Here is a 16,037-nt window from a genome sequence, read left to right as displayed (position 1 = left end):
GTTTAATGACAGTGGTGGGGCATGAGAGAGGGATGGGAGGACGCAAAATATTTACTCTAGCAAAGTCAGTGGAAATGGCTATCAATTTAGAACCTGCCCACCATTGCGACTAGATGGCTAAATGTTAAAAAGGGGAGGAATTCCATCCTGCAAATGAGCCCTCTCCTTGGGTTGACTAAGAAGTGCTGTATTAGTTCCCCAGGGCTGTTGTACCACAAACTGAATGGCTTAACACAACAGAAATTTATTCTCTCACAGTTCAGGAGGCCAGATGTCCAAAATCAAGGTATCAGCAGGCTTAGTTCCTTCTTGGCAGCTCAGGCATGGGGAGAATCTATTCCATACCTCTCTACTAACTTCTGGAGGTTTCTGGAAATCCTCAGAGTTTCCTGGCTTGTAGCTATGCAATGCCAATCACAGCCTCTGTGGTCACATGGCCATCTGTTCTCTGGGTCTGTCTGTCTCTGTGTCTTCATATAGCATTCTCTCCTCTTTGTATGTCTGTGTCCAAATTTCCCTTGTCTGAAGATACAAGTCATCAGATTAGGACTCAGCATAATCCAATAAGACCTTATCTTAACCAACTATATCTGCAAAGACCCTATTTCCAAATAAGGTGACATTCACAAGTACCTGAGGTTAGGACTTCATCATATCTTTTGAGGGTACACTATTCAACCCACAGTAAATACAACTCAAACTTATGTGCACATTGGAATCCCACAGACAATTTAAATAGATTCTGATGCCTGGGTACTGCCCCTCAGAGATTCTAAACTAATCAGTGTGAGGTGAAGCCAGGGCATCAATATTTTTAAAGTCCTCCAGGTGATTCTAATGTGCAGTGAAATCTCAGAATCACTAAAGGATTCTAGTGATCGGTTTCTCCAAAGGAATATTTTAGCATAATAAAGTATGTGTTCCAATGAGGAAAATCTCTTCTTTCATGATTTTGACAAAAATGAAAAGAAAATTCAAAAATCAGTAATCCAAATAAATGACAAGAAAGAATTTTAGAATTTTAGAAACCTAACCACTTGAGGTGTGTTCATTCAATGAACATGTTAATGCATGCTGTATGTGGGGCCATGAGAGAGCACCAAAGGTGGCCTTTAGAACTTTCAACATCAGCTGCTTTTCCTCCGATCTCTGGAGGAAACAAAGGATTCCTTGTGCTTTGTTCAGTTGTAACTTGGTATGGAAATTACTCATTCCCCAAGACACTGCTCAGTTGGTAGCAAATAGTGAAACAGGACCTTACTTCTATAGATCAAATGGCCATAGAGAGAAGTTTAACCATATGAACAAATGAATTACTTTGTGATCTTTTATACCAATGATTACTCATATTAAGGCTGCAGTAAGTTATTAAAGTAAAACCATTTCAATGGAGGTAAATTTGTTGAAATAAAAACTACTCTTTTTATCTTCTTTTTTTAGAGCCCAAAACACCCCCTTGATACAGATGCCTATGAATGTTGTCATAATATTATTTGTCATACAACCTTATAGATTCTGTCGGGATCTATAAATGAAAATAAACGTAAACTTTTTCTTGCTTGTTTCTTAGTCTCCTCCTTCTTCTTCTTCTTTTTCTTCTTTTTTTTTTTTTTTTTTTTTTAGACAGGTTCTTGCTCTGTCACCCAGGTGGAGTGCAGTGGTGCAATCACAGCTGACTGCAGCCCCAACCTCCCAGGCTTAAGAGGTTCGACCTCCAGAGTAGCTGAAATTATAGGCACATACTACCATGCCCAGCTAATTTTTCTACTTTTGTAGTGATGGGGTTTCCCCATGTTGTCCAGGCTGGTCTTGAACTCCTGGGTTCAAGTGATCCAGCCACATCAACCTCCTAAGTGTTGGGATTACATGCCTGAGCCACAGTGCCTGGCCGGTCTCTTGGTCTTCTATATAACTGCTTCTTATCTCCCATAGTATTTTACCTCAACTTTGTTTGTACCACTATTGTGGACTAAATGTTTTTGTCTTCCCAAAATCCATATGTTGAAATCTTAATCTCTAATGTGATGGCATTAGAAGCTGGGGCCTTTGGGAGGTAATTAGGTTATGAGGGTGCAGCCCTCAGGAATGAGAATAGAATCCTTATAAAAAGAGACCAGAGAGCTTGCTTCCTCTCTCTCTGTTGTCCACCTGTGAGGATACAAGAAGAAGATGGCAAGCCAGGAAGAGGGCCTTCGCTAGAACGCCACCATGCTGGCATCCTGACCTTGGACTTCCAGCCTCCAGAGAAATTATGAGAAATCAATATTTGTCATTTAAGGCGTCCCATCTATGGTAATTTGTTATAACAGCTGGAGTTGATTCAGGTAACCATTACTTTCATTCTTTATACTTCATCCAAGATACTTTTTTGCCTAATACAAGCCATCCTTCATATATGAGGAGCCATTTTTTCCCCACTGTTAAACTACCCTGTGAAGAACTTTCTTTCACCCTAAGTTTTAAGAAAATCCTTTTTCTCAACATATCAACTAAGGTTTATTTAGATATAAAACATTTTAAAGATACACATAAAGCAGAAGTTTAATCTTAACATTTACTAATGTCAGAAAAGTAGCATAACAATATGAGCAGAACTAAAACACAAATAAGTAAGGAAATGTTTTGTACATTTTAACAAATGAAAAAAATCTTCATTTTTACTCCAAGAAAGGTTGACAGTCTTGGAATGAACATTTTAGGTAGATGATAAAATAGATGCTTGTTGAAATCTACCTTAAAAAACTGATCAGCTAAATTAATGAAAGATACATAATTTAATACAAAAGCTTACTTTCAACGAAGTGATAAATCTATGTGCATAATAATCTCTTCTTTAAAACATGATATTTAAATGGAAAAGATAGTATTATACCCATTAATATTTTGGGGAAAAGAGAACATAGACAGAATTGTTAATTCAGAAACTTATGTACCCAAGAAAGAGTACATCACAAACATTGGGGTGAACAGTCTTTATATATAGTATTCTTTAGCATTTTATGTAACACATTTTCAATTCAATCGTTGTGAACTTCAACTGATCTCTTTTGTTCCTTAGGTTGCAACAACCTCATTCCTACCAAAATGCAACTGATAACCACATTGGTGCACACCTTCTTTACCAACTCTCTTAACTTTGTCAGTGTGTTGCTATTTCAAATTTCCATGAAATCTACCTTTAAAAAACTAATTGAGCGGAGCCAGGGTATTATGGTCAGAAAGAGAAGACAGTCTTCAGGGCCTGCTGGTTCCTGAATGAACTGGGGAAAGTTGCATAATCTTTCTGTGTCTTAGTTTCTTCTTCTGCCTAGAAAATTAATATTTGCTGAGATTTCACTCTGTACTAGCCACTGTTATCTTAGAATAAATAATTCTAAATGGAATTCTATGATTTTTATGACTAAGTAATTCCAATACTGTTTTTAATTTCCATTAGTCCGATCCTCTAACATCTGGGATGTGTCAAGTGGCTTATATGTGAACATGAAAGGTTTGGATTATATCCTAAATCCTCGAAGTTCAGTCTGTGGATCAGAAGCACCAGCATCATCCAAGAGCTTGGATGAAATGCAGAGTCCCAGGCCCCGCCCTAGACCTGCTGAATCTGAATCTGCATTTTAACAAGGTCTCCAGGTGATTCATAGGCACATTAAAGTTTGAGAAGCGCTAGACTAGATGGTTGATAAAATCCATTTGAACTCACAGGGTGTACAGCACAGAGCAGAGAATCTGGCATTAAATGTCTGGATTACAGTTTGTATAACCTCAGAAGGCTGAGCTTCCAAATATATGAGTTTCCTTTTTTGTGTCTTAGTTCCTTCATCTGTAGAAAGGTGATAAAACAGTAGTTTCTTCATGAAGTTGTTGTAAAGATTGCAAAGTGCCGAGAATAAGCAAATAATACAGTGCCTGGCATATTGGAAGTTCCTCAATCATGAAATATACATTTACTGCACACCCATTATGTACATGTCAGATTCGTGCTGGGAGCTCTGAATGCAACAGTACAGAAAACAAAGCCCCTACCTTCATGAAGCTTACATTGTAGTGAAGGAAATCAGCAATAATTAAAAAAAGGCATGTAAAGAATTGTCACATAACCATTTGCTCTATGAAGTAAAGAGAATGACAGCAGTGCTATTATAGACAGGAAATTCAGAAAACGTCTTTGGAGAAGAAAAGAAATGAGTCGATACCTGAATTAGTTATTATGTGATTAGTATGTGGAGCTAAGTTCCAGTCATAGTGCTAAGCAATTTTATATGAATGCATATAAAGAATTTTTGACACTATTATGCACTTACTGTAACAACCTTATTGCCTTACTCCAATTTGGATGCTGAAAACTTATTATTACTCTTTAGTCTGACTCAAAAAACCTCTCAGAGCCATCCACCCCAGCAATGGAGATAATATAACAGTATCATACACCCTACAATTTAATCACAGCATCTAGATATAAACTAGAACTTTGGATCAGTACCATGGTGATAACAATAAGACTTCTATTTCCATATGTGGAAATTAAGACTCCCTAACCCCTTTTATAGAAAAAGATGTGTTTAACTTAGTAGCTTGGCTATATTCCAATTTATACTTTTACCTAAGAATTTCAGTCTTTGGGTTTAGTAGATATTTTTCTTCATTTCCCTTTGCTACACAATAAACATGCAAACAAATAACTGTTATGTGGTGTCACTGGCATGAAATAGCTTCTATATTCCAACACAGATGGGGTATCTTAATAATGGGAAGATGATCTCACACTTTAAAGTGCTTGATATAAAAGGTGCCATATAAAAAGGAAGTTATTATTATTAGTTATAATACCCTAAAAAAGGGATTTGCCATCTAAATGGCTGCTGAAACTTAACTGCAGAATTGCTTATAATGCTACAATCAGTTGAGGCCAAATTCAATAAAAATTCCATCCGGCATTCACACTGAGAAGACCCACATGTGCCTTTAATTTTTTTTTAATTTCCTGGGCTTCCGGCCCAGAAATTGGATGGAAATTGTATTGAAAACTGCCCTTGTGTATCAACTTTTGGTAAATACCAGGCTTTCAGTTGACTCACATTATGCTTTACATTTTGGGCAAAGGGAGGGTATAAAATGATTCACGTCTCTCTATATACATATATTTATACACCTTTTACCTGTCTATGAGACTGTGGCTTATATTAAATGTTCATCATTATTTCTACAATTTTTAGGATCTGCCAGCCCCCACCAACCCCCCCACTGCAACCATAAGACTCAAAATTCCATTAAATCCCTTTCCAGCACTAATCAGCTTTTACTAGCACAGGCAATGTAATCTGAGTTTAGAAATGACTAATTATTTGGAGAGGGCTGGAAGGGGTTAGGGTTTAGATTTCTTTCTAATTTAAAGGAGCTTCTTTCCTGTCTTTCTCCCTGTCATTTTGCTGCCTGTGGCCAGCTCCCCCTCCTTGATGAAAATGCTCTTTCCCTTCCCATTAGACAAGGTATATATGTATGTATTAGAAGAAAAATGTATTAGGAGACATCAAGTTGAAAATATTAAAAGAAGAGCCATGCCTGTGATGGATGTGGGCATGGCAGTAATTGCACCTGCTAGGGGCAAGGCATGGGCATAATTTGCATGTAAAGTTCTCTCGGCTCCTTCCAGAACACACCAGTTCTACCCAATAAAACATTTTGTCACCTGCAGGGGGTTTGCCAACATGTTCCCAGATTGCAAGCAAAAAGATTATTTACAGTAACCAGTAACAACTGAAACAACCATAAACAACCTTTCTGTACCTGTTCTATTTCTTTTTCCTTTGGCTAAGTAGAGGAAGCTTAAGGAGTCCAAATTTACTGCAATTTAATTCTGATGGGGAAAAAGCACATGATTTTTATTTATAGCAGCGTGCTCTATCTATTCCTGTCTCCCCCAACCTCTTTTTAAAACATAAATAACCCCGGAATTTTTTGTAATCCAGCTATTACTCTTGTAGGGATGAGCAGTTTCCTGATAAAGTGAGAGAGGGCAAATGTGGCCAGAAGTTCCCTAATGTATTCAAGAATCCTGTTGTATGCTCATAGAGTAAGGGGGACTAGGGAAAAATCACCTGGTCAAGCCATTCATGCAATTTCTTTTTTTGTTATTGTTGTTGTTCTGTTTTGAGATAGGGTCTTGCTCTGTCACCCAGGCTGGAGTGCAGTGGTTCAATCATGGCCCACTGCAGCCTGGACCTCCCAGGCTCAAGCGATCTCCTCCTGCCACAGCCTCCCAAGCAGCTGGGACTGCAGACACACACCATCATGCTCAGCTAATTTTTAAATTTTTTGTTGAGAGGCGGTCTCACTGTATTGCCCAGGCTGGTCTCAAACTCCAGGGCTCAAGGGATTCTCCCACCTCAGTCTTCCAAAGTACCAAGCAACTTCTTTGTGGCAATTGGAAATGCAGGGGGCCTACATGCTGACTTTGCTGTAGGGAGCGGCACCTTGCATCTGACTGACCTGGGTCTTACCTCTTGTCCTCAAACCCCCTCTAGGAGAGTTTTTCCAGAAGTTCAGATTTCATTCTGAATTGCAGAGGACCACGCACGTATCTCTTGAGAAAATGATCAAACGTGAGAAAGTGCAGTTAAACCAGGCCTGGTTTGCCCAGGTTGCTTCTCTTGATGAGGTGTTGCTTCATTCCATCTGCAGGAATCACAGGGAGAGGATCAAGGAGAGGAAACAGGGCCATAAACTGTCAAGTCTAATTAAATGTGACTAGATTATTTAATATGAAGGGACAACGTGATACATTTTAAAAACAATGTCAGAGAATTATAAAATGAAAAGTATAAAGTCTCCTCTGCTCCAATTTCAGTCTCACTCACTAGGACTAACAATTGTTAACAGTATCCTTAGACATCCTTTCAGAAATTGTGAATGCATAAATATGGATACATACACACAAAAGGGTGCGTGCGTGTGTGTGTGTGTGTGTGTGTGTGTGTGTGTGTGTAAGTGCTTGTAAGCACAAAAACGGTACAGGTACCAACTTTCCTGTGCCGATCAACAGTACATGTCCCAAGTTCTCCTAACAATACCGTTTATTTATTTTTTTATTTATTTAGAGACAGGGTCTCCCTCAGTCTTTTGGTCTGGAGTGCTGTGGCACAATCATGGCTCACTGCAGCTTCCACCTCCTGAGCTCGAGTGATCCCTCAAGTGCTCCTCCCACCTCAACCTCTCAAGTAGTTGGGACAACAGGTGCGTGCCATGACGCCCACCTAATTTAAACTTTTTGTTTGTTTGTTTTTTGCAGAGACAAAGTCTCCCTATGTTGCCCAGGCTGGTCTCAAACTCCTGGGCTCAAGAGATCCACCTGTCTTGGCTTCTCAAAGTGCTGGGATTACAGGAGTGACCCACCTCCGCCCAGCCTCTAAGGATACCTCTTGGAGGTCATTTATGCCAATACTAGTAGATGCACCTTTCTCTCTGCCGCTGTATGTCTCCACTGTATTTTATCAGCCACTCTCCTAATGAAGGACAGGTAGGTTGTTCCCAACTGTTTTTCGTACAACTAAAGTTGCAGTGTTTGCACGGGTTTGACTGGAAGTAAGTCACCAGCGGTTCAGCGCAAAGGCTCAGGACTGCAACAGGCTTATTCAAGTCCGGGTTCTCCAACCCACCACTGTGTGTATACTTGGGCAAATAAAGGTGGTAAGATCTACTTCACAGGGTCCTTGACAGAATATAGTTGCGATTATTCTCACAACTGACTCATTGAAACTTTAAGCAAACCAATTTCCTCATCACTAAATCCGGGAATAATAATAGATCCAGGTTGCTCTGGGGACTGCATGAACTAATTGATTTAGCGCAGTCCACGACCTGCTACCTAGTGAGCCCTTAATAATTATCCGCTTTAATATTAAAATTGGCAATCTTTGCGCACTTGTGGGAGCGCAGCTGCAGGAGGCTTTTCTAGAAGTGGAATTCCTGCCTTAACCCCGTGTTCCGAGGGCCCTAACTGCGTGGCACGAGGCCACCCGGAGGTGACACGGTGACCGCCGCCCAGCCCGCGCCGCCGCCCAGGGCCCTGCGGAGGCCGGACACACGTGGGTGCACGCGGCCGAGCGCAGGGCCGCGCGGGGTCCGGCCGGCGCAGAGGCGCTGGGGGCGCCGCAGACGCGAGGCTCGGGACCCAGTTGGCTGCTCCGCCGCGCTCCCCGCCCCTCCCTCCCTCCAGTCCGCCCGGTCTCCCCTCCCTCCAGCGTCCGCGTCGGAGCCGGAGCCGGAGCCGGAGTGGCGGAGGCACGGGCAGTGCTCGCTAGGCGCCGGCAGCAGCCACAGCAGCCTGGCGCTTGGCGGCGGCGGCGGTGGCAGCGGCGGGCGGGCTGGCGCCGTGGACTGGGCCGGGAACCGTGCGGACGAGGGTGCTGCGCCTGCGGCGGCGGCGGCTTACGCGGGCGCGCACGGCGGCCCCCCGGGCCCGGACTAACTGCGGCGGCGGCGGTGGCGGCGGCGGCGGCGGCGGCGGCGGCGGCGAGTGGGCCGTCGGGGCGGGCGTCTGGCGAGCTGCAGAGACCAGGTAAGTCCGGGATGCCCGACTCCTGGCGCCGGCCGGGCCACAGGGATGAGCCACCTGCCAGGGCAAACTTTACGCCCTGGCTTCATGGCTCCTCAGCCCCGAAGTTTGTTTGCAGGGAAATGCACCTGACGGGTCGAGAATAAAAGATGCTTCTCTCATCGGACTTGCTCTGGGGAGATTATTTTTCCCCTTCTGGGGCGAGGATTGGTTTCGGGTTGGGAAGGCTGCATCCCCAGCTGGAGCGCTGAAAATTGAGTGGTAGGTCCCTTGGGCTTGCCCTTCGCGCAGTGGATTTGACCAGTTAAAGTTGGGGGAAAAAAGTTGTGACTCCTAGGGATGCTGAGGAACAATTCCAGGTGCATGATGCAGAATGTGGGAATGTGATACCTCTTTGCTGGAACCACCCCCCAGGCCCAGATTCCCAGGTCTGAGAAAGCTAGGGTGGCCGATTCTTTCATTAGCGATCAAGTTTTCTAAGCTGCATTTTCTTTCTACTCACAGATCAGCAGCTTGGGACGGAGTTCCCCGTCGCGTTTATTTGTCAGGTTTACCCTGCTGCGCTGTAGTCCAGGTTTCCTGAGCTCGGACCCTGGTTTCAGCTGTTTCTGTGTTCTCTGAGGAGCCTGCAAAGCTAACCAAGCAGGTAACAGAATAGCAGAAACAGAAAACCAGGAAGTGCCAACCGGGCACCGGGGTCATAGCACCATCAGGAATTTTTTCTGGTCGCGTGAAATGAACGAACAGCTTCTGGGCTCTGCTTGTGCAAAGCTCCGTACAACTCTCCAATCCGTATGTCTTTCCCTGTATTGCATTTGCTTATTGATTTACAACAAGGAGATGTGTCCAGAGGTATTATTTAATAACAAACGGTGTCCGCTACGGTAAGGACAGCAAACCTCCTTTCAGAGGCAAAGAAAGGGGAACAGAGCTCTGGGAAAGGGGTAGCCAGTCTGCTAACCTCAACCCAAGATGCAGGGAAACAGAGCTAGAAAAAGCAACAGACAAGGAGGGCGTGATGTGCAGGAGGGAGGTCAGAAACCCCAGCTCATATGGTGAGTAGGTAAATCCAGAAATAATTTTAAAATGATTAAGCAAGAATAACTAAAAAAAAAAAAAAAAAAGTAGGAAGACTGTACGTGCTGTGGTTTCTGTCTACCCCCACAGAGATGAATATCACACTAGCTGAAAAAGAATCCTGATCTGTAAATAGATTAAAAACAGGAATTAATCAGAACAATGAGTCAGAGCCCTTCAGAGATTGAAAGGAGGAGTAATTGCCTTTGAAAGAGCTTATATCTCAATATCAAGTCAAATGTGTTACTTTTGCTTTGCTAGATGTGTTTACTAACAGTAACCTGACTTTGGCTGCAGTAACCTGGCATCTTGGTTCATGGTTTTAACCATTTGTGGGTCATGGGACTAGGGAGAAAGTTGACTGCAGGTTAATATTCATATCAATTTGTGCAACATTTGTAAGATGCCTAATACGTGCATGTCACTGGTTGCAATGGGAGAGGTCCTTGTGAATGTTCATTAAAGAAATCTGATCGGGTTCAGCCTCACTAAATGGAAGGATGTTGGCTTGCAAATAATAAAGAGTGGGGTTGGGAATTATTGGTCTTTGAATACTTGCTTGAAATTAGTTGAGAGTAAACATGTGGTTTGAGGACCCCCAAAATGATCAGTATCCACCAGGGAAATATAGCAAATTGCTGTACACTTTTATAAGATGAATAGTAAGGCTGAATGCATGCAAGTGGCCCTTCTGTCTAAAAGTAGGATAACCGAGACACCGAGTGTCTAATTGATATGCAGGGTAATAGATTCAGGCTGTGGCCGCCACAGACAATAACATTCAGCCTCATGTCCTCCTCACTGTCTGGATGTCATTAATGTCAGCCCGAAGACATGAAGATGTTAAGTTCATTTCTCCAGGAGAACTCTAACTTTTAAATATTCTTCACAACACAACCAGATAGCCCAAGTGTACCTTAAAATGGCAACAAAGCATTTAATAGGAGCAAAGTGCTGAGCACTTTCAAGTAGAGAGAAGATTAGCCGTGGACAACAAGCTGTAGCCTTTCCTTTGCTGATTTATGTTCAATTTTATCACTGTCACATTTCATATATGCCCAGTTATTACAAACTAATAGCCTCTTTTCTCTGCTTGCAAAATATGCATCTTTCTCTTTTACAAGTTCCTAACTCCTTCTCACACATTCAGTACACATCTTCCAGCTTTGTTTTTACTGCAAAATTTAAGTGTCCAACTTGAAGTTCTCATTAACTCTTAATATGGTTCATGCTGAAATAGTATATAGATATAATTGCTGCTTCCAAACTGTCAGATCTGTATATCGCTATACTGTGGCAATACTACAAAACAGAGAAGCTTTGACTGGTTTCCAATCACCAGTTAGTAAGTTGTTAGCAGTAAAACTAATGTTAATTTTATGTAGTGGAATATATTCAGATGGCAGGAGGATTTATTGATGCTGTGCATGTTTGCCTGCTGTCTCTGATTTAGTTGTCACCACCAGTCTGCCTTTAAGCCTTCTTATCTTAGCAAGGTACTTTGTCTCTATGAAGGTGAGCATCTTTAAGGTGCTCACTTGTAGTTTTTAATATGCACACATGCATATGCATATACTTTTAACATGCATATATAATTAATCACTTAATGCTGGTGGACAGTTTCCTTTCTTATGCTTGAAAAAAGTGCAATGGAGAATATCATTGTTGCAAAGATAGTTGGCAAGAGAATATGGGGCCACGGAACAGTTTAAGATAGAACATTTCTTTGAAATTGAGGGGTGACAGATCTCATTCTCATATCCAATTTGTATAAACATTTCAGAAATGGATCGAGTGTTGTAAATGGTTTTTATCTTATAGTCTCCCCTGCACTCATCTCTTAAACACAGTGGGACATTTCTTTGGAAAAATTGCTGCAGGAGAAATGCACTCCCTGGTTGAAACTTTGTATGCCAAGTTTCAATCCATAGTACATTTTTATTTTCCCCCTTTTATGTACATGTTATAAACAAGAAATAAGGGTTTGTAATAGAAGTGCTGGCAGAACTTTATAGCATTTCAAACAGCTTTGCTACTTGGAATGTAAATATTTGTAGAATCTTTACTGTGCAAGAACCTGCCTTGCAAGGAATGAGGAAAAATGACTATTTTCTTAAGTAGGATAAAATAATTCAGTGAGTTTGCATATTTCTTGTTGCAGACCTATTGGCATTTGAAGACATAGATTATCTATGTTGTAGTGATTCCATAGCATTCTCTTAGGTGCCTTTATAACTCAGCTTGTAAATTTCCTATGTTCTAAAACAAGAGAACAATTTTGTCCCATTTGTTTTTTAAGTCCCTTGACTTTGATTACCTTTCAGATGTTAAGATATGAGATCCATATTTCAAAACTGCTTGATTATATTACTGATAAATGAGGCTGTCAGTATACTGTTTTAATAGGGTAAATCTTGACACCATCACAATACTTCAAGTGCTTTTATTTTGGGGAACTAGTACAACTCAGACCTTATATGTCCTTTTGGTTCTAACCCTGAAATATCTCTCACATTCGCCCACTTCCCTCCATGTTCACCCACGTCCTCCTTCTCCAAGTCCCCATCTTCTCTCCTGGGATAACTACACTGGCTTCCTTGGCTCCTTTCGTACTTCTTCCCCCAAATCATCCTGCATAGCAGCCAAGACTTCTTTTTTTTTTAATGTAAGTTAAATTAGTACTCATCTACTCAGAATGCTTAAATGGCTTTTCATTGAACTCAGAATAAAATCCAAACTATTAAATATTACCTGCAAGGCTGTGTGGGATTTAAACACTACTGTCCCTTTGACAATTCCTAGCAAGCTTTTAGGAACAAGAGCTTCTTAGACCCTTTTTCATTTCTGCAGATGTGTTGAGCTCTTTCCTATGTTAGGGATCATTCTGTTCTTTTGCCCAGTAGCCCTGTCCAGCCCTAACGCCTAAACACACATACGCACACACGTGTGCACACACACAAACTCACAGGGTTTTTTTTTTCATTTTTGTTTTTTTCGACAGGGTCTCACTCTGTCACCCAGGCTGGAGTGCAGTGGTGCGATCATGGTTCACTGGAACCTCGACCTCCTGGGCTAAGTGATTCTCCCACCTTAGTCTCCTGAGTAGCTGGGACTATAGACACACACCGCCATGCCCTGGCTAATTTTTGGATTTTTTGTAGAGATGGGAATTCACCATGTTGCCAAAGCTGTTCTTGAACTCCTGAACTCAAACGATCTGCCCACCTCGACCTCCCAAAGTGCTGAGATTATAGGTGTGAGCCGCTGAGTCTGGCCCACATAGAGTTTTTGACTGCTACTCATCCCTTAGGCCACAGTGTAAATATCATTTGCTTAGAGAGGGCTCTCTGATTTCCTTCCTACCCTGAATGAGGGCACTTCTGATAGGCTCTTTCTGTTCATTTCCTTGGTATGCTTAGTATAACTTGGAACTGTACATTTCCTTACCTGATTGTATGTTTATATTCTGTAAGTACCTTGTAAGCAGTTACCACATCTATTTTATGCATTATTGCAAAGCAGCTTCTGTCAAAGTATCTGGCCCACAGTGGAGTTTGATAAACCTATGACAACTAAGCTTATTGGTTTGCTGAGCTTGCCATATGTAACCAAAGATCCTGTCAAGAAGGTCCGTATTCAGCAGAAGTCTGCAGCTGACTTTGACAGTATTCTTTCTGTCACATTGCCCGTGATCTCGTACATCTCTTGGACACCTGCTACTTCAAACCAATGTTGTCCAAAATGGAATTATCATTTTTCCTCTCAATCCGTTTCCTAAGAGCTTAGGTGGTCTGTTCTTCCTTTAGCTATCATTGGGGTCATCAAGGCATCTGGAGTCAGTGGTCTTTGTCACCATCTTCTCCCTTTGCCATTGTAGCCAGTCCACCGATTAAAAATACAAGAACATTCATTCAAGCAATGTGCCAGGCTGGGTTTTAAGTACTTCTCACCTAAATGCAGGAGATTAAGAAATGACTTTCTCCTCACTCTCTTTCTTGTTCCAATCTATTTGACACGCAGTGCTGTATTAATCCATGAGGCCGACCCCTTGGGTCACTGGACACCCACTGCATAGAGAAAAATATGCTACTGATGCAGCCTGTCTGTATGTGACTTCTCCCTAATTCTCCCCTGATACTTAACACTCCAGCTATAATACATGGGTCTTTTCAAACTTCCTTGAAAACTCAACATGGCCCTGCTTCAGTGTTCTTGCATGTGCTTGGAACACCCATGACTTCCACTCCACTCTCCTTATTCCCGTGTTGACTCATTTCCACCCTCAATTCTTTGTTGTTTCGTTCAGGAAAGCTCTTTACTTCCAACCTTACCATTTGTCAAGGTGATACCCAACCTAGCCATTCCTCCAGGTAGCCTTGACTGTCCCCCTAGACTAGGTTTGACCTCTATGCTATCTACAATCGACCATTTAAATTTTGTTTCTCCTTTAGGGGGTAAATGTATTATAATCTAATTAATATTGTAAAATTGTTTAATATCTGCTTTTCCTGATAGTCTATTGATGGAGTAGCATGCACATGTTAAGACTTTGGTAAATATTTCTGGAAAGATAGAAAGTCTAATCTTTTTAATTGGCATGAAGTGCAGCTATAGTTATAGTGGGGCTTCTTTTTCTAGGGCTAAAATTTATTTTAGTGTATAAAGATTTTATTTTATTTTGCAGAGTTTCTGAGTGACAAATCATTAGTTGACAACAGATGAACATCTTGATATGATCTGAATTTAGAAAATTCTGTGACAAACATATGCTCTAAAGGAAGCATAAGCCAAAGGTTGTGAGCACCGAGGACTGGTCCTTGAAGTAATGAGCTGATTTTAGTGCAAGGAAGTAATGGGAAGTTCTCAAAATTCATTATTTTATTGGAGTGAAACATTAGCGTATGAAAGAAATAACTAAATGACTGCATCACAACAAATCAAAAGCACATCTTCCTAAACCATAAATAATTACTTATAAATGGGGGAAATTTTGTAGGCATTAAACAGTCTCACCAGTCATCCTTCAAAGAGGAAGCCCCTGTCATAGAGCCGAGAATAGTCTATTTCACTTGCACTGTTTCTCAACTTCTGATGTTTCTGCAGAAAGGTTAACTGGGGTTCTGCTGAAATAATGGTGATACCTTAGCCCTTACAAGATTTTCTGAATCATCTCTGGGGTACAGCTTGCTAATCTGCATTTTTTAGCTTTTTGTTTTAAAGTAATTTTAAACTCACAGAAGTTGTAAAACATAGTACAAAGAGTTCTGTATAATCTTCATCCAACTTCCCCGTATGGTGACATTGTATATATCTGTCCTGCAATACCAGAACCAGGAAATTGACATTGGTACATTACTGTTAACTAGATTGCAGACCTTATTCAGTTGTCATCATTTTTTAAACCTGATTTCATGAATATGTGTATAGCCCTACACGGTTTTATCCCATGTAGAGGTTCATGTTTCTAGGATTTTAACTTAAAGAACAAATGTCCTGAGAGGTGACATTTCCATGTCAGCATACACTAATGTGATAATTTTGCAACTGTATTCTAGCATTGAAAAATTCCACTTCCATGGATCTTTTTCCATGCAAATATTTGTCTTGTTCTTAAATATCATGAACTCCTTTACCTTGCAGATGCCTGTATGGAAATGGAAATCTTGGGATTTTATAAGCCAGGATATAACATTTGGGTGGTTCTCTGTGTCTTTGGTTTGGGAATCTGTGTTGACTTCCCCATGCTACGTTTGAAAAGTTCTGCAGATAGCAAATATGTTTGTTTATCAGTGTGGTCAGGCTTGGGCAGGATTTTGATGCCACTAGGGCAGGGCCCCAACTGAATGCTTCATGCAGGTTCTAACTCAATCGCAGTTCATTTTATTTCTTGCATAGAAATAGTCACTTTTAAAATAACTTAATGCATTGCAGAAGATGGTAATGACACTTTTCAGGCAATTAAAATCAACCCGAACAATATAGCTAGTGATCTAATCTGATGCCTGCTACTCACTTGGTCTGGCCGCCTCCCTGAATGTAAAGTAGCCGAAAGTTGCTGATTACCAATTACTAATTCCGGTGAATATTCTGAAAGCTCTGGAATACAGATAAGGCATATTTGTACCAAAGTCGGCTGTGTGTGACTGCACCTCCCTCGCCCCTGTGCATTCCCTTTGCCTAAGAAGCTTTCACATTTGCATATACGAGGCAGGTTAATTTTTCTCTTCTTACTAGGGCTTCTATTTATTTTAAATAAAACTGATCAAAAGCTTTGTGCATGGACTGTATGGTTTTGAAATGTGAGCCATGCAGGCCCAAGTTTCTCCTTTTATTCATTGGAGTACATAAATTTTTTTCTTCATATGTAATATGGAGATATACATGTTTCTATTTAGTAGTAATGTAT

General features: G+C 41.2%; 1 protein-coding gene and 1 long non-coding RNA gene across 4 annotated transcripts in view; one reads left to right on the top strand and one right to left on the bottom strand.

Moving 5' to 3' along the window:
- Positions 1 to 224: 224 nt before the first annotated feature.
- Positions 225 to 9,145, bottom strand: LOC105377166 (uncharacterized). 2 transcript variants are annotated; one of them, XR_007096257.1, is made up of 3 exons: positions 9,057 to 9,145; positions 6,501 to 6,675; positions 225 to 522 (listed from the first exon to the last, which is right to left on the bottom strand). It is a non-coding gene; the product is annotated as an uncharacterized LOC105377166 (long non-coding RNA). The 2 variants fall into 2 exon arrangements; XR_940969.3 differs by lacking the exon at positions 9,057 to 9,145 and adding an exon at positions 7,454 to 7,991.
- CNTN3 (contactin 3) overlaps positions 8,289 to 16,037 on the top strand; it is a 352,092-nt gene continuing 344,343 nt past the window's right edge. The window contains exon 1 of one of the 2 annotated variants that reach the window (NM_020872.3): positions 8,289 to 8,557. The gene's annotated coding sequence lies outside the window, so the exon portion shown is untranslated. Of the gene's footprint in view, positions 9,201 to 16,037 lie in introns of both variants that reach the window. The other variant, NM_001393376.1, reaches the window with a different exon arrangement.

This window comes from Homo sapiens, chromosome 3, assembly GCF_000001405.40.
Source record: "Homo sapiens chromosome 3, GRCh38.p14 Primary Assembly".
NCBI classification, from domain to species: domain Eukaryota; kingdom Metazoa; phylum Chordata; class Mammalia; order Primates; family Hominidae; genus Homo; species Homo sapiens.
Note: the sequence above shows the minus strand (reverse complement) of the source record. Positions and strands in the feature narration are given on the sequence as shown.